This window comes from Homo sapiens, chromosome 16 (genome assembly GCF_000001405.40).
Source record: "Homo sapiens chromosome 16, GRCh38.p14 Primary Assembly".
Classification (NCBI taxonomy): Eukaryota; Metazoa; Chordata; class Mammalia; order Primates; family Hominidae; genus Homo; species Homo sapiens.
This window is the reverse complement of record NC_000016.10, coordinates 4627580-4652230: the sequence shown is the minus strand read 5'-3', so window position 1 is coordinate 4652230 and position 24651 is coordinate 4627580. Positions and strand designations below refer to the sequence as shown.

General features: G+C 53.1%; 1 protein-coding gene and 1 pseudogene across 5 annotated transcripts in view, besides 2 other annotated features; one reads left to right on the top strand and one right to left on the bottom strand.

The window, feature by feature from the left end:
* Window positions 1-24651, bottom strand: part of MGRN1 (mahogunin ring finger 1) — a 66147-nt gene that overhangs the window by 38742 nt on the left and 2754 nt on the right. For all 5 annotated transcript variants that reach the window (NR_102267.2, NM_001142290.3, NM_015246.4 and 2 more), the window contains exons 2-3: window positions 1748-1866; window positions 180-268 (exon numbers count right to left, since the gene is read on the bottom strand). Coding sequence is in view for 4 of the 5 variants with exons in the window: in NM_001142290.3 (NP_001135762.1) it covers window positions 180-268; window positions 1748-1866 (208 nt within the window). In the remaining variant the exon portion in view is untranslated. The remainder of the gene's footprint in view (window positions 1-179; window positions 269-1747; window positions 1867-24651) is intronic.
* Window positions 4582-5081: an enhancer, noted in NCBI's record as "H3K4me1 hESC enhancer chr16:4697151-4697650 (GRCh37/hg19 assembly coordinates)". NCBI's record gives its function as "activates a minimal SCP1, AML or CMV promoter by ChIP-STARR-seq in naive H9 embryonic stem cells {active_cell/tissue: H9 hESC(naive)}" and the evidence as "EXISTENCE:reporter gene assay evidence [ECO:0000049][PMID:30033119]".
* Window positions 13994-14958: an enhancer, noted in NCBI's record as "H3K27ac-H3K4me1 hESC enhancer chr16:4687274-4688238 (GRCh37/hg19 assembly coordinates)". NCBI's record gives its function as "activates a minimal SCP1, AML or CMV promoter by ChIP-STARR-seq in primed H9 embryonic stem cells {active_cell/tissue: H9 hESC(primed)}" and the evidence as "EXISTENCE:reporter gene assay evidence [ECO:0000049][PMID:30033119]".
* On the top strand, window positions 18350-18640 carry RN7SL850P (RNA, 7SL, cytoplasmic 850, pseudogene; annotated as a pseudogene).

Here is a 24651-nt window from a genome sequence, read left to right as displayed (position 1 = left end):
GCTCTTGTTCCACATGCCCTTTCCCTCGCTCAGCCCAGGACAGCCTCTCATTCCACACGGGAGGGCGCAGAAACTGGGGCCCCTCCCGCCTGCCCTTTTCCTCAAGCATCAAGCCAGAACCTCCACCACAGGCTGCGCCCCACAGAGCCACAGGGTCCCCAGGGGCAGGGTGAAGTTACCTCACCAGCCGCAGGGAGTCTTTGCGGATGTTCACCAGGCTCCGCAGCGTCTTCACGGGCTCGTGGGGGGCAGGAGTGACGTAGGGAAACTAGGAGAAAAACCACAGGGCCCCAGGTGACTCCCTCAGGAGCAGCCAACAACAGAAAACGGGTCAGGGTGCAGCAGCCACAGCCCCAGAGGGTATCCCTGGGATCTAGTCCCATGGGAGGGGCTATACTGGGTGCACTGTTCTCATTTACAGGTAGAAGCTGCAGGCCACGCAGCCAGCACACGCAACGGCCAGGACCAAATCACCCTGAGCAAATCCAGCCAGGCAGCCTCAACGCCAGACCCCTGCACGCTGGGGCTGCCCATCCCCAACCTGCTCTCCCAGGCTTCCCATATCCATCACTGCCCCGAGCACCCTCAGCCCCTTCCTCAGTCCCCACCCTTTCCATCCCCAAAGCTTCCTACGAGCACAGCTCAGCAACCCGCCCCAGGGCCCCCAAAGTTTACTGGCTCTTCCGGCCTCCTGTCCCCTGAGGCCTGCACCCTCTCACCTCTTCCTCTGTTCCCAGGCCCCCTGCCTTCTAGCTTCTTCTGGAGGGGCCCCCTTCCCACCTATCATGGCTTGGTTCAGCCATGGCCTCTCCAGTAGAGCCTCCCTTTCTGCCCCTTCTCTCTTCTACCCATTTGTCCCGTATTAATTGTCTACGCCCCCACCAGGTAGCAGAGGCAGGGTCTGCTTTCACCCCAAGCCCTGGAAGAGCACTAGGCACGCAGCAGGTGCCACATGTGTGCTGAACAGACAGCTCACAGTACTCGAGTACTATGACAGTACTCGAATGTGCCCTTCTCTGGCAACGAGGGGAAGATGTTAGCCAGCTGTCTGCATCTCTCCTTTGGACCATGTCTCTTGCCCACTGTTCTAGGGAAAGTAAATATTCTTTTTTTTTTTTTTCTTTGAGACAGTCTCCCTTTGTTGCCCAGTCTGGAGTGTAGTGGTGCAATCTCGGCTCACTGCCACCTCCGCCTCTCAGATTCAAGTGATTCTCCTGCCTCAGCCTCCCGAGTAGTTGGGATTACAGGCACGTGCCACCACACCCGGCTAATTTTTCTTTTTTTTCAGTAGAGACGGGGTTTCACCATTTTGGCCAGGCTTGTCTCAAACTCCTGACCTCAGGTGATCTGCCCGCCTCAGCCTCCCCAAGTGCTGGGATTACAGGCGTGAGCCACAATGCCCAGTCTGTAAATACTATTTTTGCCTTGTAAAGAAAGTCATCCAAGAAGGCTGGAATCAAATCCACCATGTTCCGCAGCCGTTGCAGCCCAGACGCACCCATTCAGTATGGCTGCTCTGTTTCTCAGTGACCTGCCCCTGGCCATCTGGCCTCTAGGGGGCAGCACCAGGACACAACCCATTCCAGGGCACGTGCCCACACCCAAGCTCAACTGGAATCCTGCCAGGAGCTCTGCCCCCTTTAGGGGTGATTTGGTGCCTGCTTGCCCTCATGGCTGGGATGCGGACTGCTGGGGACAGGGGCCTCCCACCCCCACAGCCCCATGAGACAGCCCTGTCCAGACCCACCTGGACCGGGCGGCTGCCCAGGAAGTTCAGATCCATGTTCTCTCCAAAGAGGTAACCTTCAGGGTGGGGGGTGTCGAATTTCTCTCCTCCCATGAAAAAGTGCGAAGCAAAGTAGTTTCCTGTTTAAAAAAGGAAACACGATTATAGATTTTTTTTTTTTTTTTTTGAGACAGAGTCTCAGGCTAGAGTGCAGTGGCGCTCCACCCAGGCTGGAGTGCAGTGGCGCTATCTCAGCTCACTGCAAGCTCCGCCCACCGGGTTCAAGCGATTCTTCTGCCTCAGCCTCCCGAGTAGCTGGGATTACCGGCACCCACCACCACGCCCAGCTGATTTTTGTATTCTTAGTGGAGACGGGGTTTCACCATATTGGCCAGGATGGTCTCCAATGCCCGGCCTCAGGTAATCCGCCCGCCTCAGCCTCCCAAGGTTCTGGGATTACAGGTATGAGCCACGGCGCCCAGCCTGGAAACAGTTATCGACTCTGAGGCTGAACACAGCCTGGTGGGAACATCTGACGGCCAAGAAGCTCGGCCCTGAGAAAGGCTCCACCTGAGGGGAGCTGATGCAGACAGGCCAGCGGGTGCCCCTCATACCCTCTGCCTCGGCCACCTGGCCTCGGGCCTTCCAAGGTGGCCTCCTGGCCTCTCCACACTGCCAGCCTCAACACCCTTCCCTGGACGGCTCCTCGCTGCTCCCAGCCCATCAGCCAGCATCCAGCTCCAACACCACTTTCTTCTGTAGTGGCCTGAGCTGTGTTTCCGATGAAGTTCGGGTCCTACTCCACACCCAGCCCCTACCTGTGCATGTGACCTTATTTGGATCTAGGGTCTTTGCAGATGTAATCAAGTTAAGAGGAGGTCATACTGGATTGAGGGGCTCTAAATCCAGTGACTGGTTCTTAACAGAAGAAAGGAGAGGGAGGTTTGGACGCAGACTTGAAGGGAAGGCCAAGGGAAGAGATGGAGGCAAGAGATTGCAGTGATGCGGCCACAAGCCCAGGGATGACAATGAGTGCCTGGGGCCCCAGGAGTGGGGAGAGGTAAGGAAGAGTCCTCCCCCAGCGCCTTCGGGGACCGTGGCCCTGCTGGCACCTCGGTTTCTGACGTGTGCCTCTGTGATGGTGAGAGAATACATTTCTGCTGTTTCAAGCCACGGTTAGAGGTCATTTGTCACAGCCACCCCAAGAAATCCTTACACATTTCGTGACCCCAGGCTAAGTCACCTTACCCCCAAATCTGAGCCCTGTGTACTTTCCATGGCAGCACCCAGCCGGGTTTAGAAGTCTCTGTGGATCTGGGCTAGTTCGTTCAGTCTGACTCCCGCGTGAGGGCGGGAGGCTGTAGGTGGCGCCCATCAGGACCCTGGCACACTTAGGCATGAGATCTGCGCTTCTCCTATGAGGAGGGGATGGACAGCTGGGCATCCTCAGAGACCTGCGCTCACAGCCCTGCCAAGGAACACTGAGAGCATGGCCTCTCCCCTGGATTCCTGACCTGACGCCCAGATCCAGCCCCATTTCTCCTGGCACACAGCCCCGGAGAGGAGGACCCGGGTGACCACGGGAAGAGTCCCCGAGAGGAGGAGCCGGGTGACCACGGGAAGAGTCCCCGAGAGGAGGAGCCGGGTGACCACGGGAAGAGCCCCGGGAGGAGGACCCGGGTGACCACGGGAAGAGCCCCGGGAGGAGGACCCGGGTGACCACGGGAAGAGCCCCGGGAGGAGGAGCCGGGTGACCACGGGAAGAGTCCCCGAGAGGAGGAGCCGGGTGACCACGGGAAGAGCCCCCGGGAGGAGGACCCGGGTGACCACGGGAAGAGTCCCCGGGAGGAGGAGCCGGGTGACCACGGGAAGAGTCCCGGGAGGAGGACCCGGGTGACCACGGGAAGAGCCCCGGGAGGAGGACCCGGGTGACCACGGGAAGAGCCCCCGGGAGGAGGACCCGGGTGACCACGGGAAGAGCCCCGGGAGGAGCCCCCGGGTGACCACGGGAAGAGCCCCCGGGAGGAGGAGCCAGGTGACCACGGGAAGAGTCCCCGAGAGGAGGAGCCGGGTGACCACGGGAAGAGCCCCCGGGAGGAGGACCCGGGTGACCACGGGAAGAGTCCCCGGGAGGAGGAGCCGGGTGACCACGGGAAGAGTCCCCGAGAGGAGGAGCCGGGTGACCACGGGAAGAGCCCGCGGGAGGAGGAGCCGGGTGACCACGGGAAGAGTCCCCGGGAGGAGGAGCCGGGTGACCACGGGAAGAGTCTCCGAGGGGAGGACCCGGGTAGCTGCAGGGACCTGTGGATTTCAAGGATGCTCAGAATACATGGTCCTCAACCTCACGTATTGCAGGGACTTCTGGGAATTCTCAGAATTCCCACTGGGGGCCCCAGAATCCCTATTCCTTCTCAGAATTCCCACCTGAGGCCAGGTGGGCCCTTCCCGGGGCCTTCAGCGGGAATTCTGAGACCTTCAGGCGCTGCATGGTCTGTGTCCTTCCCGAGAACCACGGCCCCAGTTACAGTTGGCACAGCCACGGCCACCAAGACCAGCCGGGCCCCAACAGTGATTCCAGGGTGCTCCTCCTGAGGGAGGTGGCCCAGAGCCAGGTGCCCAGCATGGCTGCTGACTGCCAGGAACAGTGGTTGGGAGCCGCAGCCCCACCTAACCCAGCATGCAGAACAGGGACCACTGAGAGCTGATGACGACCAAAAACAAAGAAGAAAGCGGCAACTGCTTCAGCAAGTGGGACGCCCTGATTTTATGGCCCACCACACAGCTGCTGGAACCAAGCTGATCCAGACATACCGATGTGGAGCGAGTCACAGAGTATTTGCAGGTTAAAGAAAACAAGTTAACACACTGCAAGATCATTTTCTGAGGGGTCACCGCACGCACTGAGATGTGCGCAACACAAATTGTGAATACACAGAGAATGTTCTGGAAGGACACGCCCACAAGGCTGCCAGGGAAATTGGTGCAGAGCAGACGAGGGGTGGAGCAAAGCCTATGTGGTGGTTTTAAATCAAAAGAAAGAAAGAACACCTGCAGTACAGTGAGCCCAGGATGCCTTCCCTGATTACCTGGGCCTTGAACATAGCCCCACCACATTGAAATACACAAAGTCTTTAAAGGTGAATTTTCCACACAGCCTACGGGGCGGGGCCAGGGGCCACAAGGCACCCCGTGCCTCAGGGCACGGTGGTCTCCGGATGCTGGCCTCAGACCAACCTCAAGCCCCAGTCATGGAGCAGGGCTGAGACAGGGCCCGGCCCAGAGCCACCTGCCTGCTCCTCCAAGATGTGCACCATGTTCATGAAAACCACATGAAGGACTCGGCTGCTGGGAACCCCCGCACTAGCTGCTGGCAGACAAGGGCCACAGCAGCACGGCAAGAGGGTGTGGGAAGCCCAGTGACCCTGCTGACCAGCCCAGGACCCATCGTCGGGGGCACCCTTAGCAGTGATCAGCCCCCACCCTTCCAGGCTCTCCCCAGCGCTGACGTACTGAGGTGGGGTCCAGAAGGCCGGGCAGCCTTGGTCTGGAGGGACACTCAGGAGCGGGCTTGTCCCTGCCAGGCCTTCCAGGCCGAGGCACTGGGCACTCCATGGCCCCAGGCAGGAGACAGGTCCCTGGTCCAGAAGCCTCCTGCTCCAACCTCCTCCCAGGGCACCTTCAAGGCACAACCACTTTGTGTCCAAGAAGCCCCCGCTGTAGGCAGAAGATGAGCGAGGTGGCCAGCCTCCACGAGGGCCCCCAGCGCATCTCACCTCCCGGCCGACATGTCTCTGGGCAGACTGCACCCACACTGAACAGGGCTGACCAGGTGACCGCATGAAATGATGACCACAGAGACTGCATGAAAATGATGGTGTGTGGCTTCTAAGGCTCTGGGGGAAGCTGCCACCATGCTGTGAGGACACCCAAGCAGCCCCATGGAGAGGTCCCGAGGGGAGGACCTGAGGCCTCCCGCTAAACCCAGCACCGGCATGCCGGGCCTGTGAGCCAGGGAGGCAGCCCCTCCATGCCCAGGCAAGCCCTCAGAGGACCACAGCCCACCCACAGCTTTTTTTTTTTTTGAGACAGGGTCTTGCTCTGTCGCCGAGGTTGGAGTGCAGGGGCACGATCACTGCAGCCTTGGACCTCCTGAGCTCAAACAATCCTCCTGCCTCAGCCTCCCAAGTAGCTGGGATCACAGTGTGCACAATGTCTGGCTCATTTTTGTTTATTTTTTGTAGACATGGGGTCTCACTATGCTACCCAGGCTGGTCTCAAACTGCTGGGCACAAGCAATCCTCCCACCTTTGCCTCCCAAAGTGCTGGGATTACAGGCGTGAGCCACCGTGACACAGCCTGAGTGAGGACTCACGAGTGATGGTGAGCCAGAGCCCCCCGACGGAGCCGCTCCCAATCCCGACCCTCACCGTAAGGTAGGAAGTGCTCACTGTGCTAAGCCACTACACTCTGAAGGAGTCACCCAGAAAGAGACGTCGAGTCTTTCTGAGACGTGGTCTACGTGACTGTCATTTCTCCTCTCCTGACTCCCAATTCGATTTCATTTCTACAACCACAGCACTGGTTAGAGCCTCTGGCACCATCTGCCCTGTGACTGTGCCCATTCACCAGCCTCCCCACATCCCCTGGGTCCCCAGGTCTGTTGTTTCTGGACCCACTGCCCTCAAAACTCTGCTGGCGTCCCAGCCACACTGGGGCAGGTCCCAGTAGCCTCCGAGGCCCCAGACAAGGCCACTCTGCCAGCCCCGGCCCACTCACACCTCGGGGCCCTGGAGTCCTCAGCTCATCCAGCTCTTCCCTGGAGCTCCAGCTCTACCTCAGGCTGCTCTCTCCACGAGGCCTCTTCTGACACCCCTTTTACAACTTGCCAAGCCTCCCACACCCCAGCTTGCCAACCAATCTTTCCACTCCCCTTTCCAGCCTTATTCTTCTCCACAGCACTTTTCAGCCTGGTGTTCTAGGCTGGAGGCTCTAAGATCTTACTGTATGTAGTTTTAAGCTTCAATAACTTCAGAGAAAGTAATTAAGCTGGGCCAGTGGTTCATGCCTGGGCGCTTTGGAAGATCAAGGCAGGAGGATCGCTCGAGCCCCAGAGTTCAAGACCAGCCTGGGCAACATAGGGAGACGCTGTCTCTACAAAAAATTCTTAAAAATTAGCTGGGCATGGCAGCGCATGCCTGTAGTCCTAGCTACTCAGGACACTCACTGAGGCAGGAAGATCGCTTGAGTCCAAGAGTTCGAGGCTGCAGTAAGCCATGATCACACCACACTGCACTCCAGCCTGGGCAACAGAGCAAGACCCTGTCTCTCTTCCCGTCCCCCCACCACCACCCCCACCCCCGCCAACTCTCACTCTATATATATATGCACACGCATATATACATATAAATAACTTCAGAGAAACAAATGCTACAAACTAAAACACCTGCATAGGTAATAAGTGATTATTAATTTTTTCCTTTATCTTTTTAAAATTAAGTTTTCTACAATTAACATATATCATTTGTAAAACAAGAAAAATTATTTTTAAAAGATTAGAGACAAGGAAGAAGAGTGTTTGTTAAAGCAATGGTTGTAATATCACAAAACTGGGACCATGTTCTAGAATTAGATCAAGGTAATGGTTGCATGACTGAATATACCAAAAATCACTGACTTGTACACTTTAAAAAGGTGTCCCCATGGTAAGTGAATTTTACCTCAAAAAAACTTAACTGGAAGGACGTAAGTTGTGAGGTGATGAATCATTAATTTTTGTACTAGGTTTTTATGTCAATTTTTGTGAAGTAACTTGGAAATAGATGCTATTGTTACATAAAAATCTTGCTAATTCCTATCTAATTGATGTTATCAAGGTTTCTCAACTTAAAAAACAGAACCCAGGTGCAGTGGCTCACACCTGTAATTCCAGCACTTTGGGAGGCCAAGGTGGGTGGATCACCTGAGGTCAGGAGTTGGAGACCAGCCTGACCATAATGGAGAAACCCTGTCTCTACTAAAAATACAAAATTACCCAGGCGTGGTGGTGTGTGCCTGTAATCCCAGCTACTTGGGAGGCTGAGGCAGGAAAATCGCTTGAACCTGGGAGGCAGAGGTTGCCGTGAGCTGAGATTGGGCCAGCTGTCCACTCCAGCCTGGACAACAAGAGTGAAACTCCATCAAAAAAAAAAAAAAAAAAAAACTGGTAATTGAGGGGTCCAAGCACGGTGGCTAACACCTGTAAACCCAGCACTTTGGGAGGCTGAGGGGGGTGGATCACTTGAGGTAAGGAGTTCTAGACCAGCCTGGCCAACATGGTAAAACCCCATCTCTACTAAAAATACAAAACAAAACAAAAAAAAATTAGCCGGGAGTGGTAGTACATGCCTGTAATCCCAACTACTCAGGAGGCCAAGACAGCAGAATTGCTTGCATCTGGGAGGCAGAGGTTGCAGGGAGCCGAGATTGCACCACCTCACTCCACTCCAGCCTGGGCAACAGAGCGAGACTCCATCTCAAAAAAAACAAACAAACAAAAAAAACTAGCATTGAGGCTGAAATCATTTTAGCAACAGCTTGTATCCAACTGTGAATGCATGAATTAACCAGGAGAAAAAGGAACCCATCTACTCAAGAGACATATTTCCAATGTTTTTTCGTATTTCTTCTTGTTATTGATAAAAACTGGAATATTTGTTTGATCAATTGGGTATTAGTAATGGCCATTCAAAACACGAAAAACTCACAGCTTATGATGTAAAATTATTTAAAATTCTAATTTCAATTGGTGCGCATATTTTGGTTGCAGACACACAATATGATCAATACAAGATTTTTGCCAGGCGCGGTGACTCACGCGTGTAATCCCAGCACTTTGGGAGGCCAAGGCAGGTGGATCACGAGGTCAGGAGATGGAGACCATCCTGGCTAACACGGTGAAACCCCGTCTCTACTAAAAAATACAAAAAATTAGCCAGGTGTGGTGGCACGCGCCTGTAGTCCCAGGTACTTGGGAGGGGCTGAGGCAGGAGAATTCCTTGAACCCAGGAAGCGGAGGTTGCAGTGAGGGAGACTCTGTCTCAGAAAAAAAAAAAAAAAAAAAAATCAAGCAAGGCCGGGTACAGTAGCTCACGCCTGTAATCCTACCACTTTGGGAGGCCAAGGTGGGAGGTTCACTTGAGCCCAGCAGTTCGAGACCTGCCTGGACAACATGGCAAAACCCCATCTCTGCCAAAAATACAAAAATTAGTCCAGGCTCAGTGGCTCGTGCCTATAATCCCAGTGCTCTGGGAGGCCGAGAGGAGTGGATCACAAGGTCAGGAGATCGAGATTGAGACCAGCCTGGCCAACATGGCGAAATCCCATCTCTACTAAAAATACAAAAATTAGCCAGGCATGGTGGTGTGTGCCTATAGTCCCAGCTACTTAGGAGGCTGAGGCACGAGAATCGCTTGAACTTGGGAGGCAGAGGCTGCAGTGAGCTGAGATTGTGCCACTTCACTCTAGCCTGGGTGACAGAGTGGGACTGTCTCAAAACAAAACAAAACAAAAAAAATTAGCTAGCACGGTGATGCGTACTTGCAGTCCAAGGTACTCGGGAGGCTGAGGTGGAAGGATCACTTGAGCCTGGGAGGTCAAGGCTGCAGTGAACCCTGATCAAGCCACTGCATTATAGCCTAGGCAACAGAGCCAGACCCTTTAACAAAAAAAAAAAAAAAATTCAAGCGTTAAAAATTATAACCCACCAGGCACGGTGCTCACCCCTGTAATCCCAGCACTTTGGGAGGCCAGGGCAGGCAAATCACTTGAGGTCTGCCGTCAGGAGTTGAAGACCAGCCTGGCCAACATGGGAAAGTCTGTTTCTACTAAAAATACAAAAATTAGGGCCGGGTGCGGTGGCTCACGCCTGTAATCCCAGCACTTTGGGAGGCCGAGGCGGGCGGATCACAAGGTCAGGAGTTTAAGACCAGTCTGGCAACAAGGTGAAACCCCCATCTCTACTAAAAACACACACACACACACACACACACACACACACACAAATTAGCTGGCCGTGGTGGTGCATGCCTGTAATCCCAGCTACTCAGAAGGCTGAGGCAGGAGAATCGCTTGAACTCAGGAGACGAAGGTTACCGTGAGCGGAGATCACACCATTGAACTCCAGCCTGGGTGACAGAAGACGACTCCGTTTCAAAAATAAATAAATAAATAAAAATACAAAAATTAGCTCATGCCTGTAATCCCCACTACTCGGGAGGCTGAGACAGGAGAATCTCTCGAACCCAAGAGGCAGAGGTTGCAGCGAGCTGAAATCGCGCCACTGCACTCCAGCCTGGGCGAAAGAGCAAGACGGTCTTTTTTAAAAAAAAAAAAAAAAAAGGAACCAAGTCATATGCTGACAGGGAAATGCATGACAGTGCAGGGTTACCGGATGGACCCTCAGCACTCAAGAACAGGGTCTACGTGATCAACACGGCGCAGACAATCAACAACTCACACCTGCAGGAGACGAGACCAACTGGGAAGAACTGGAAACACCTCACAGAGAATCCAGGCCAGCCGAGGGGGCTCACGCCTATAATCCCAGCACTTTAGGAGGCCAAGGTGGGCAAGATGGCTTGAAGCCACGAATTTCAGACCAGCCTGGGCGACATGGCGAGACCCTGTCTCTACAAAAAATACAAAAAGTGGCCAGGCGCAGTGGCTCACATCTGTAATCCCAGCACTTTGGGAGGCCGAGGCAGGCGAATCACCTGAGGTTGGGAGTTCGAGACCAGCCTGACCAACATGGAGAAACTCCCGTCTCTACTAAAAATGCAAAATTAGCTGGGCATGGTGGTGGGTGCCTGTAATCCCATCTACTCAGGAGGCTAAGGCAGGAGAATCACTTGAACCTGGGAGGCAGAGGTTGCGGTCAGCCGAGACTGCACCACTGCACTCCAGCCTGGGGCAACAAGAGCAAAACGCTGTCTTAAAAAAAAAAAAAAAAAAAGTAGCCAGGCACAGTGGTATGTGCCTGTAGTACCAGCCACTCAAGAGGCTGAGGCAGAAGGACCATGCGAGCCCAGCAATTTGAGGTTGCAGTGAGCTATGATTGGGCCCCTGGGCCACTGCACTCCAGCCCAAGCAACAGCGTGACTCTGTCTCCAAAAAACAAAAAAAAAATCCTATTGCTCACACATGGGTATCCACACATGGAGAAGAAACACGGGAAGGAGACCCTAGGTCCCTGATGGGGCAGGAGGAAGGGACCAGGCCTGGGGAAGTGTTAGGGGCGGGGCCGCCCTTTCCTTTGCCTCAAGAAGAATGACACACATGTGGTGTGTGCGTGCATGAGCTGTGTACATTTGTATGTGCACCAGCTCAGGACCAAGAGGAGCAGGCAGCGCTGCCAAGGGGGTGGAGGAAAAAGAAAAGGAGACTGTGAGTGGGAAGTGGGAAGGCAGCTGTGGAGGTGAAAGAACGCAGGTGGAACCACACCCACCAGGCTCTCCCTCCACACCTGCTGAGGTCAGCGCCTTCACCCCCTTTCCCGCTGGCCCCAAGGAAAGAGGGGCAGACAAGGCCCACACTTTCAAACATACAGGAAACGAAGCTTGGCTAAGGCCCCCAAGCTCATCAGCGGTGGAGCTGGGGCGCACACCCCGACTCCAGAGCCCACTTGTTTCTCAGTCTCTGTGCTGGGCACCTCCCCTCCTGCAGCCGGGGGACCACGGGGACAGGAGTCAGTGGTGTCATCGCCAGTGACAATGGGCACTGTTCACACACAAAAAACCACACCCAAGGGGCTTCCCCAGCAGAATGGCTGAAAATCCTCCTGTGGGCTCACAGAGCCCGACAGACGCCACAGGGTCCCAAGGTTGTCCTGGAAATCCCGGCTATGTGGAACCAACACACTCAAGGACCCAGGGCCTCAGGGCAGTCCTCGAACACCACTAAAACAAAGGCATCCTTCTCCCCTGGTTTACTGTCACCCCCAGGGGGACTGGAGCCCAGCAGTTCACTGCCTCCCTGCCCGAGGGATTCGGACTCTGGGTGGCTTGCAGGTGTCCGGGCAACCTGCACAGGGAGACAACAGCCACAGAAATGAAAACTGCAAAATCCCTTCCGTGGGAGGCCTCGAGGCATTCCCCGAACAGCCTCAATGCTCTCCACACATGCCTCCAGGCAGGAGGATACATACGTTTGTCATCTCTACAGCTGAGAAAAACCAAAACCACAAGGCCACAGGTCAGAGGCTGTCTTGGGGATGGCCAGGGGAGGGGGACAGCCCTGTCCCTTCCATACAGGCCACAGAGTGAGCCAAGAAGCCTTCTGGGCCCGTCTTGTGTCTCTTGCACCTTGTCAATATCTTGTGGTACACAGTGTGCAATGAACGCCACCAGACATCTGCGAGAGGAAAACAGGGACATTCCGAATCACTGAAACAAGCCAACCTTGGAAGGGCGGGAGGCCCGGGACGCGGCAAGGCCTCCCAAGAACGCGGGCGAAAGGCGAAGCACAGGCCATCTGAGTGCACAGACGGACTCAACGCAGCAGAGGAGCCGCAGCAAACACCGTCGGAGCCGCGGAGCGTGGAGGGCAGATGAGTAAAGTAGGGTCTTGCTATCAAGCCTGAAAGCACCTGCCCCGCCTGCCTGTGCCTGAACTCCACGCTCACAGTTTTCAGGGAGAAGTCTGACCCATGTTTATCAGACCAGAGTTCAGGGCCCACCGGGTCAGAGGTTCGTGATCTGGACCCTTGAAATGCATTTGCCTCCAAACCCACCAACCCTGGTACACCCCTAAGAGAAAGAGGCCGGGCTCAGATCATGTCAGAAAGGCCTTTCCTCCACACCCCCAATACGGGGACCATGTGTGGATCCACAGGCAGGCGTTCCTCATCCTCCCGCACCGAGGGGGCAGACGCTGTGCATCTGGGGACAGGATGCCCAAGTCATAGGCAGGCCTTGGAGACAACTGTCCTGCCTGTTCCATCCTAGGTAGCCCAGGCTTCCTCCTGACCTTCCAGATGCCCCCAGCCTAATGATGCCCAATGGTGAAGGTTGCTGCACCCTGACCTGAAGGCCATGGCCAAGCTCCCCGCTCTGCAGACCAGTGATTCCACATGCCCTGCCCACCCCGCCCCACCTTCCCGGCCTGGGCTATTCCCTCCTTGGGATGCCGCGGTGAGGCCAGCCTGGACCACCACGCAGGCCAACTGCCAGCTCGTGGTCAACGCTCCCGCCGCCATTCTCCTCATAGTGTCACTGCTGCTTTATCTCGTGTACCTGTTGGTTCCCTCTGTCCTCCCCAGCCCAAAAGTAGGCATCATCCTCAACTGTCCACGGCCCCGCATCCTCATGACCTCCCCGCTCCATGCCTAAGAGCTGGATGAACACTCACCTAATGAATGAAAGCAGATGCTGTTGTTACTGGTGTTTGACAGTCAGGGAAACTGGCCCGGTGAGGCTGAGTGACCTGCTCAGGTCACACAACCAGTGAGAGACATTCTCACTGGGACCCCTGGGCAGACTCCAGAGCCTGCACTGTCAGCCATGGGAAGTAAGCCAGGATGTGAATGAAGACACCCAGCATGTCTGCCTCCTAAGAAACACAGCGGCCCAGGGACCCGGGACACCAGGGGTGGACTTCACTGGGCTGCCTCAGCCATCGTTCCCACCCGAGGAAGGGGGAGTGGGAAGGCCACGAGGTGTCTGCAGGGGCTCCGAACAGCTCACTGATTCCACCTGCTGAAAATTCTCCTCGTGTTCTAACAGGACAGGTGTTCCTGCTTACCAGTCTCACAAAATCAGCTGCTGCATTGCCAATAAACCCCAGGTGGGCCAGACCTGCACAAGATCAGGTCCCAGGATGCCCCCACCAGGTGGGAGGCCAGAGGGGGTGGCAGCCCCACAGCCTTCGAGTGCTCTGGGGGTCCCACCCAGCTGTATCACCCACGCATTGATCCCCCTGGGCCTACCATGCTTCCCTGCCTACTACCAGTCCCCCACCCAGCTGGGGAAGTCAACATGGGCTGAGATATTTATTTATTTTTTTTTTTGAGACGGACTCTCGCTCTGTCACCCAGGCTGGAGTGCAGTGGTACGATCACGGCTCACTGCAACCTCTGCCTCCCGGGTTCAGGTGATTCTCCTGCCTCAGCCTTCCAAATAGCTGAGATTACAGGCACCCGCCACCACGCCCAGCAATTTTCTGTATTTTTAGTAGAGACGGAGTTTCACCATGTTGGTCAGGCTGGTCTCAAACTCCTGACCTCGTAATCCACCCGCCTCGGCCTCCCAAAGTGCTGGGATTACAGGGAGCCACCACACCCAACCTTGATTTCTTTAACTGCAAACTTGAGATGAGAGGGCCACCCTAAACTCAGGACGTCCTGAGGATAAAAAATGCCAATTAACACAAAGGAGCCTCCGGCAGGTGTGAACACACTGGCTAGAAGTCCCTTTCGGACCTCCCATATGTAAACGTGATACCATATTAAATACAGGGCTCTGGCTTCCAGTGCGGAACACAAAGCTGAGAACAACTCTGACTAAGCAAAGACGCTGGGGCACGGAGGGGGCATAAGCTGTAGTCACCTTTTTTGTTGGGGGTGTGTCCTCCCCTTTTCTGGAAACAGCCTCCACCACCCTCAGGGTGGCCCCCACCCCCTAGACAGGGCTGGTTGGCCCTAAGGTGGACACTGGCACACTGGGCCATCCGAATTCTCCCTCCTGTGGAATGGGACCAGGGACGACGGCAGCACTTGGCCCTTGACCAGCCTGGTGGGTGGCGATGGCCTCACACACGCCGGAGCAGCTGGGGCGCTCTGCAGGACTGCAGGATGGCGCTGAGGCTGGAGCCGAACAGAGGCTCTGGGTTCCCGCAGCTTCCACTTGTCCGTTTCCCCTGAGGTTACTGGGACTTCCCTCGGAGCCTTCAATACACTCCATTTCTTGCCTGGGCTAGCTTCCATAAACGGCACTAAGGCGGCCAATTTCCAAAGAATTAAAACCATAATAAAAAGCACTTAGGAAAGAGCTCCTATAAACCAGTAAGAAAAAAAGATAACTCAATTTTTTTTTTGTTTTTTTCTTTGAGACAGTCTCACTCTGTCGCTCAGGCTGGAGTGCAATGGCGCGATCTTGGCTCACTGTAACCTCCATCTCCCAGGTTCAAGCGATTCTCCTGCCTCAGCCTCCCCAGGAGCTAGGATTACAGGCACCCAACACCATGCCCAGCTAATTTTTGAATTTTTAGTAGAGACGGGGTTTCACCATGTTGGCCGGGCTGGTCTTCAACTCCTGACCTGAGGTGATCTGCCCGCCTCAGCCTCCCAAAGTGCTAGAATTACAGGTGTGAGCCACTGAACCTGGCCACTCAATTTTTTTTTTTTTTTTTTTTTTTGAGATGGAGTCTTGCTCTGTCGCCCGGGCTGGCGTGCAGTGGCGCAATCTTGACTCACTGCAAGCTCCACCTCCCAGGTTCACGCCATTCTCCTGCCTCAGCCTCCCAAGTAGCTGGGACTACAGGCGCACGCCACCGTGCCCTGCTAATTGTTTGTATTTTTAGTAGAGACGGGGTTTTACCATGTTAGCCAGGATGGTCTCGATCTCCTGACCTTGTGATCTGCCCGTCTCGGCCTCCCAAAGTGCTGGGATTACAGGTGTGAGCCACTGAGCCTGGCCACTCAATTGTTTTAATGTGTAAAAGACTTCACAAGGCACTTCAACAGCAGGACAAGAAACAGATGGCCAATTCGCATAGAGAAAGGCGCTCAACCTCACTGGTCATCAGGGAAAAGTACAATGAGAAATTCAAGGTGGAATTGAAAAAAAATTAAAAATAGCACACACCCCTCACCCTACCTAGTGCCAGTATGAATGCAGAGCGACCAACACCCTTGTTCTTGCCTGCAGACATGCAAATTCGTTCACTCCTAAAAGTTTAAAATCTACGAAGGCTGAATGCACCCAACAGCCCCAACAAGTCCACTCCAGGCATAAAAACGCACCCAAAGAGATCAGGCTCAAGGGCACCACCGCCAGACACAAGGATGTCCCCAGCTCCCCCGGAGCCCGTCCACGGGCAGCACTGGGACGCTGGAAGGTCCCACAGCAGACGCCAGATCACTCACTGCTCACAAACCCCGCCCGGCCATTGCATCCCATCTCATCCTGAGGTGGAGCAAGAAGAGCGCCTCCTTCCAGTTCTTTCAAGCTCAAACCCAAGCAGAAGTCACCCAGGGAGGAAGTCAGGGGGGTGGTTCCCAGGGAAGAAGGGGGAGGCAGGTTGTTCAGAAGGGGACAATAGGGGGCCTCTGGGGGCCGGTACTGCTCTATTTTTCTCAACATGTTCATTTTGTGATCATTTATCAAACTGCACATTAATGAGCTGTACATTTCCTAAATGTATGCTAGCCTTGGCCAGGCCCAGTGGCTCATGCCTGTAATCCCAGCACTTGCAGAGGCCGAGGCAGGTGGATCACCTGAGGTCAAGAGTTCAAGACCAGCCTGACCAACATGGTGAAACCCTGTCTCTACTTAAAAAAAAAAAACAGAAAATACAAAAGTTAGCTGAGGCCGGGCACGGTAGTCACATCTGTAATCCCAGCACTTCTGGAGGCTGAGGCAGGCAGATCACAAGGTCAGGAGTTCAAGACCAGCCTGGCCAACATGGTGAAACCACATCTCCACTAAATATACAAAAAAAAAAAAAAAAAAATTAGCTGGGCGTGGTAGTGGGCACCTGTAATCCCAGCTACTCGGGAGGCTTTGGCGGGAGAGTCGCTTAAACCTGGGAGGTGGAGGTTGCAGTGAGCCAATATTGCGCCACTGCACACCAGCCTGGATGACAGTGCGAGACTCTGTCTCAAAAAAAAAGAAAAAAAAGTTAGCTGGGTGTGGTGGCCCACACCTGTAATCCCAGCTACTCCAGAGGCTGAAGGAGGATTGCTCGAACCCAGGAGGCAGAGGTTGCAGTGAGCTAAGATCATGCCACTACACTCCAGCCTGGGCGACAGAGCAAGACTCTGTCTCGAAAAAAAGAAAAAAAAAAGAATATGTTAGCCTCAATTTATTATTTTTTATTTGACTTATTAATTTATTTAGAGACAGGGTCTCACTCTGTCACCCAGGGTGGAGTGCAGTGGCGCAATCTTGGCTCACTGTGAACTCCACCTCCTGGTTTCAAGAGATTCTCCCACCTCAGCCACCTGAGCAGCTGGGATTACAGGTGTGCACCACCACACTTGGCTATTTTTTTTTTTGGATTTTTAGTAGAGATAGGGTTTTGCCATGTTGGCCAGGCTGGCCTCAAACTCCTGACCTCAAGTGATCCGCCTGCCTCAGCCTCCCAAAGTGCTGGGATTACAGGCGTGAGCCCCTGCAGCCAGCCCCCAGCCTCTGATTTTTAATGTCTATGTGCAGTATATGTACACACACACTTTTTCCCCAAAGCACTGAAGCAATCTTTTCTTTCTTTCGATTCCCCAGAAGGCTCCCTGGGAGTCTGGGCTCTCAGAGACATCACAGAGAGCATCTGTTCCGCGGGGCGAGAGCCCTGTTAGAAGAAAGCTTCAGTTATGTGAGCAGTGGCGCCAGTGCTGAGCCCTGGGGAGCCAATGCAACCTTCTGCCCACCTCAGGGATGCCAGGCCCCGCTGAGGCCACATACCCAAGACCACGTGAGAGGACCCAAGTCCCCCGCGAGCTGGATGAAAGGACTGAGCAAACGGTGTTTCTTCTAACGGCCTCAGGTCTTGATTTCAGTCACTCCTCAAACCTCTCGCTTCTTCGCCCAGGTCTATGGAAAGGCAAATGACCGAACACTCGCTCAGGATCCAGGGACCCCTCCAACACTGCTCCAGGTCAGCTTCTCCACAAACAAGCAGAGGGACACAGGCCGCTCCTCTTCCAGCCCCTCCTAGGGCGCAGCAAAGGGCTGAGCTCCGGGTAATTCTACAGCTGTTCAGCGAGCACAAGTCAGGCACTGCAGGGATGGTGCAGACGACACCACGCCGTCGTCCACTGGACAAGATGACCCCAAAGCGCAAAGCTAGAGAGCCTCACGGGACACAGCGGAAGGGCGCGGGGAAAGCCAGGCAATGTCGGACCCAGGCGGCACCGGGTCTGGGAGGTGGGCAGGCAGGAGTGGTCACCACTTCAGGGTCATCCAGGAAATACAGAACATTTTCCAGAAAACTTCTGGGCATCATGAAAAACAAAAGCTGGGCTGGGCTGGGCGAGGGCCAGGGCCTGTCCCTCCCTGCTGGCTCACATGGACTGGCAGCCAGACCTGAAAGGGGCCCAGGGAATCAGAGGTGACCCCCAGGGCTCAGCCAGGGAAACCTGGGGCCCCATTGAGCAAAACACTGGCCAAGGCCACTGAGGAAGTCACTGGCACAGGAGGGGCTACCATCAGCCCAGGACTCTGAAGCTAGTGCTCCTCCCACCACACGCCTACAGGGTTGCCCCCAATGGCAGCTGCAATTTTCACAGCCTGTTAGGATTGCTTTTACCTTCAAATGCATCCTACTATGAAACCCAAGCCCTTTTTAAAAAAATTTTTATCACGAGGTCAGGAGATGGAGACCATCCTGGCTAACACGGTGAAACCCCGTCTCTACTAATAATACAAAAAATTGGCCGGGCGCGGTGGCGGGCGCCTGCAGTCCCAGCTACTCGGGAGGCTGAGGCAGGAGAATGGCGTGAACCCGGGAGGCAGAGCTTGCAGTGAGCCGAGATAGCACCACTGCAGTCCGGCCTGGGAGAAAGAGTGAGACTCCGTCTCAATAATAATAATAATAATTTTTTTTATTGATAGATATATTTTTTGAGACAGAGTTTTGCTCTAGTTGCCCAGGCTGGAGTGCAATGGCACGACCTCGGCTCACTGCAACCTCTGCCTCCTGGGTTCAAGTGATTCTCCTGCCTCAGCCTCCCGAGTAGCTGGGATTACAGGCACGTACCACCACGCCCAGCTCATTTTGTATTTTTAGTAGAGATGGGGCTTCTCCATCTTGGTCAGTCTGGTCTCAAACCTCCGACCTCAGGTGATCCACCCGCCTTGGCCTCCCAAAGTGCTGAGATTACAGGTGTGAGCCACGGCACCCAGCCAATTTTTATTAATTTTTCAATAAATAAAGCCTGGGCACTGTTGCCCAGGCTGGAATGCAGTGGCGTGATCTCAGCTCACTGCAAGCTCTGCTTCCTGGTTTAAAGCAGTTCTCCTGCCTCAGCCTCCTGAGTAGCTGGGATTATGGGCACCCACCACCACGTCCAGCTAATTTTTTGGATTTTTAATAGAGGTGGGGTTTTACCATGCTGGCCAGGCTGCTCTCAAACTCCTAACCTCAAATGGTCCACCCGCCTCAGCCTCCCAAAGTACTAGGATTACAGGTGTGAGCCACTGCACCCGGCCAAATTTTATTAATTTATTCTTTAGAGACAGAGTCTCACTCTGCTGCCCAGGCTGGAGTACAGTGGGGCAATCATAGCTCACTGCAGCCTCGACCTCCTGAGCTCAAGCAATCCTCCCACCTCAGCCCACCAGGTAGCTAGGACTAAAGGTGGACGCCACCACACCCAGATAATTTTTTTATTTTTTGTAGAGACAAGGTTTTGCCGTGTTGCCCAGGGTGGTCTCAAACTTCTGAGCTCAAGTAATCTGCCTGCCCTGGCCTCCCAAAGTGCTGGGATTACAAATGTGAGCCACCACGCCTGGCCGTGAGTGACTGTTTCATGGCCACTGGGTTTCTTTTTGGTGTGATGAAGATGTTCTGGAATTAGACAGTGGTGATGGCTGCACAACACAAGTATACCAAAAACCACTGGTCCCGGCACGGTGGCTCATGCCTGTAATCCCCGCATTTTGGGAGGCCGAGACGGGCGGATCAAGAGGTCAGGAGATCGAGACCATCCTGGCTAACACGGTGAAACCACATCTCCACTAAAAATACAAAAAAATTAGCCAGACGTAGTGGCGGGTGCCTGTAGTCCCAGCTACTCAGGAGGCTGAGACAGGAGAATGGCGTGAACCCGGGAGGCAGAGCTTGCAGTGAGCAGAGATTGCGCCACTGCACTCCAGCCTGGGCGACAGAGCAAGACTCCGTCTCAAAAACAAACAAACAAACAAAAAAAACCACTGGACTAGATGTTCTCAGTGTGACTCGTATGCTGTGAATTAGATCTCAACAAAACTGTTATTAAGAATAGCCGGGCGCAGTGGCTCATGCCTGTAATACCAGCTCTTCCGGAGGCTGAGGTAGGCGGGTCAAAAGGTCAATAGATCAAGACCATCCCTGCCAACATGGTGAAACCCATCTCTACTAAAAATACAAAAATTAGCTGGGCGTGGTGGCATGCACCTGTAGTCCCAGCAACACAGGAGGCTGAGGCAGGAGAGAATCACTTGAACCTGCGAGGCAGAGGTTGGAGTGAGTCAAGATTGCGCCATTGCCCTCCAGCCTGGGTGACAAGAGCAAGACTCCATCTCAAAAAAAAAAAAAAAAAAAAAAAAGGAAATTTTTTATCACTACTAGATTGGGAAGGCAATATATCAGTAATAGATTGGCAAATATCACTTGCCTTAAATAGGTAAAGTTATCTGAAAAAAAAAAACAACTGAGAAGCTAAATATCAAAATTAATGTAGAGATATACCATGTTCATGGATTCCCAGAGTCAGCACTGTAAAGACAGCAATTCTCACCACATAGATTTATATATCCAATGTAATACTTATCAAAATTGCAGGCTGCTTTTGTAGAAATAATTGACAGGCTAATTATAAAATGTATATGGAAATGCAAAGAACTTAGCATAACCAAAACAATTTTGAAAGAGAACAAAGTTGGAGAACTTATGCTACCTGATTTCACAACTTACTATCAAACTACTGTAAACAAGCCAGTGTGCTGCTGGTCTAAGAACAGACCAGGATTTCTCAGTCTAAGCACTATGGATATTCTGGGCCGATTTATTCTTAATTGTGGGGGACTGTCCTGTGGCCTCTACCCAACAGATGCCCCCAGCTGTGACAATCACAAATGTCTCCAGACATGGCCAAATGTCCCTTGAGAGGGCAAAAATGCCCCAGTTGAGAACTTCTGGGACACACATAAATCAATGGAACAGAATGGAGAGTCCCAAAATAAACCCTCACATTCATGGTTAACTGGTGGGGTTCTTGTCGCTGTTGTTTTGATTTTTAAGAGACATGGTCTTGCTTTGTTATCCAGCCACAATGCCTGGCTTAGGTCAACTAATTTTTGACAAAGGTGCAAAGGCAATTTGATGGGAAGATGATAGTCTCTACAACAAATGATACTAAAATAATTGAATTCCATCCACAAAAAAGGGGGGTTTAGATCTTTATCTCAAGCCATAAGTGAAACAAATTAATTTGGTCAGCTACAGCGGCTCACACCTGTAATCCCAGCACTCTGGAAGGCCAAGGTGGGCAGATTGCTTGAGTCCAGGACTTTGAGGCCAGCCTGGACAACACGGTGAAACCCTGTCTCTACAAAAAAAATACAAAAACTTTGCTGGGCATAGTGGTACACATACATAGCTGGGAAAACCCAGCTACTTGGGAGGCTGAGGTGGGAGAATCACCTGAGCCAGGAAGTCAAGGCTAGAGTGACATCATGCCGCTATACTCTAGCCTGAATGACAGAGTAAGACCCTATCTCAAAATTAAAAAAAAAAAAAAAAAAAAGAATTAACTCTAAATGGATCAAAGACCTAAATGTAAGAGCTAAAACTATAAAACTTCTAGAAAAGGCCGGGCACAGCGGCTCACGCCTGTAATCCCAGCAATCTGGGAGGCCAAGGCAGGCAGATCACAAGGTCAGTTTGAGATCAGCCTGGCCAATATGGTGAAAACCCCGTCTCTACTAAAAAATCCAAAAATTAGCCGGGCGTGGTGGCTCGCACCTGTAATCTCAGCTACTCAGTAGGCTGAGGTAGAAGAATCGCTGGAACCCGGGCAGAGGCTGCAGTGAGCTAAGATCATGCCACTACACTCCAGCCTGGGTGACAGAGGGAGACTCCATCTCAAAAAAAACCAACAACAACAACAACAACAAAATGCTAGAAAAAAATAGGAGAAAATCTTTGTGACCTTGACCTAGGCAAAGATTTCTTTTCTTTCTATTTGTTTTTTTTTTTTTGAGACGGCGTCTCACTCTGTCGCTCAGGCTGGAGTGCAGTGGCATAATCTCGGCTCACTGCAACCTCTGCCGCGCTCCGGGTTCCAGCGATTCTTCTGCCTCGGCCTCCCAATTAGCTGGGACTACAGGCACATGCTGCCACACCCAACTAATTTTTTGTATTTTAGGAGACATGGAGTTTCACCATGTTGCCCAGGCTGGTCTCAAACTCCTGAGCTCAGGCAATCCACCCATCTCAGTCTCCCAAAGTGCTAGGATTACAGGCGCGAGCCACTGCACCTGCGCTTTTTTTTTTTTTTTTTTTTTGAGATGGTGTCTCACTGTTTGCCCAGGCTGCAGTGCAGTGGCATGATCTTGGCTCACTGCAACCCAACTCCACCTCCCAGGTTCAAGCAATTCTCCTGACTCAGCCTCCTGAGTAGCTGGGATTACGGGCGTGCGCCATTGCGTCCAGCTCATTTTTGTATTTTTAGTAGAGACGAGGTTTCACCTTGTTGGCCAGGCTGGTCTCGAACTCCTGACCTCAGGTGATCCGCCCACCTCAGCCTCCCAAAATGCTGAGATGACAGGCATGAACCACCACACCCAGCCGCCTGTATGATTTTTTTTTTTTTTTTGAGACGGTGTCTCGCTCTTTCACCAGGCTGGAGTGCAGTGGCGCGATCTAGGCTCACTGCAACCCCCGCCTCCCGGGTTCAAACAATTCTCCTGCCTCAGCCTCCTGAGCAGCTGGGACTACAGGTGTGTGCCACCACGCCCAGCTAATTTTTGTATTTTTAGTAGAGATGGGGTTTCACCATGTTGGCCAGGATGGTCTCAATCTCTTTACCTCATGATCCGCCCACCTTGGCCTCCCAAAGTGCTGGGATTACAGGCGTGAGCCACCATGCCTGGGCCCAAGATTTCTTAAACATAACTCCAAAAGCAGTATCCACTTAAAAAGCAGTAAATGAGACTTCGTCAAAATTCAAAACTTTTGCTCTTCAAAAGAAACACCATTAAGAAAATTAAAAGACAAGCCAGACTGGGAGAAAATATTTGCAAATCACATGGCTGACAGGAGAATCCTATCCAGAACACATAAAGAACTCTTTGTTACAACTCCGTAAGATAAACAATCCAGTTTTTGAAAATTGGACAAAAGACTCAAATAGACACTTTTCACACACACACACACACACACACACACACACACACACACACATACGAACAGAAAGCAGGCCAGGTGCAGTGGCTCACCCCTGTAATCCCAGCACTTTGGAGGCTGAGGTGGGCAGATCACCTGAGGTCGGGAGTTCGAAACCAGCCTTCCCAACATAGTGAAACCCCGTGTCTACTAAAAATACAAAAATTAGCCTGGCATAGTGGCCAGTGCCTATAATCCCAGCTACTTGGGAGGCTGAGGCAGGAGAATCACTTGAAACCAGGAGGCAGAGGTTGCAGTAAGCCAAGATTGCACCACTGCACTCCAGGGCAACAGAGCGAGACTGTCTCAAAAAAAAACAGAAAAGGCTGGGCATAGTGGCTCACACCTGTAATCCTAGCACTTTGGGAGGCCAAGGCAGGCAGATCACCTGAGGTCAGGAGCTCGAGACCAGACTGGCCAATATGGTGAAACCTCATCTGTACCAAAAATTTAAAAATTAGCCGGGCGTGGTGGTGCGCACCTGTAATCCAAGCTACTCAGGAGGCTGAAACAGGAGAATTGCTTGAACCCAGGAGGCGGACGTTGCACTGAGCCGAGATCATGCCACTGCATTGCAACCTGGGCGACAGAGCAACACTCCATCTCAAAGAAAAAAGAAAGCAGATCGCTGATGGGCTGAGGGTGGGGGTTGGGGTAGGGACTCTGCAAACAGATGGAAGGAAACTTTTACAAGGGAAATGTCTGCAATTGTGGTGATGACTGCACAATTCTTTTTTTTGTTGTTGTTGCTTCAATGTCCCCTCCTTTTTTTTTTTTTTTTTTGGAGACAGAGTCACACTCTATCGCCCAGCTGGAGTGCAATGGCGTGATCTCGGCTCACTGCAAGCTTCACCTCCCGGGTTCATGCCATTCTCCTGCCTCAGCCTCCCGAGTGGCTGGGACTACAAGCGCCTGCCACCACACCTGGCTAATTTTTTGTATTTTTAGTAGACATGGGGTTTCACCGTGTTAGCCAGGATGGTCTCGATCTCCTGACCTCGTGATCCGCCTGCCTCGGCCTCCCAAAGTGCTGGGATTACAGGCGTGAGCCACCGCACCCACCCACAATTCTTTTTTTTTTTTTTTTTTGAGACGGAGTCTCACTCTGACACCTAGGCTGGAGTGCAGTGGCGCAGTCTCGGCTCACTGCAACCTCCGCCTCCTGGGTTCACACCATTCTCCTGCCTCAGCTTCCTGAGTAGCTGGGACTACAGGTGCCCGCCACCACACCCAGCTAATTTTTTGTATTTTTGGTAGAGATGGGGTTTCACGGTGTTAGCCAGGATGGTCTTGATCTCCTGACCTTGTGATCCACCTGCCTCAGCCTCCCAAAGTGCTGGGATTACAGGCGTGAACCACCGCGCCCAGCCTTTTTTTTTGAGACGGAGTCTCGCTCTGTCACCCAGGCTGGAGTGCAGTGGCGCAATCTCGGCTCACTGCAGCCTCCACCTCTCAGCTTCAAGCAATTCAGCCTGCCTCAGCCTCCCGCGTAGCTGGGACTATAGACGCCTGCCATCACGCCCGGCTAAATTTTTTTGTATTTTTAGTAGAGACGGGGTTTCCCCGTGTTAGCCAGGATGGTCTCCATC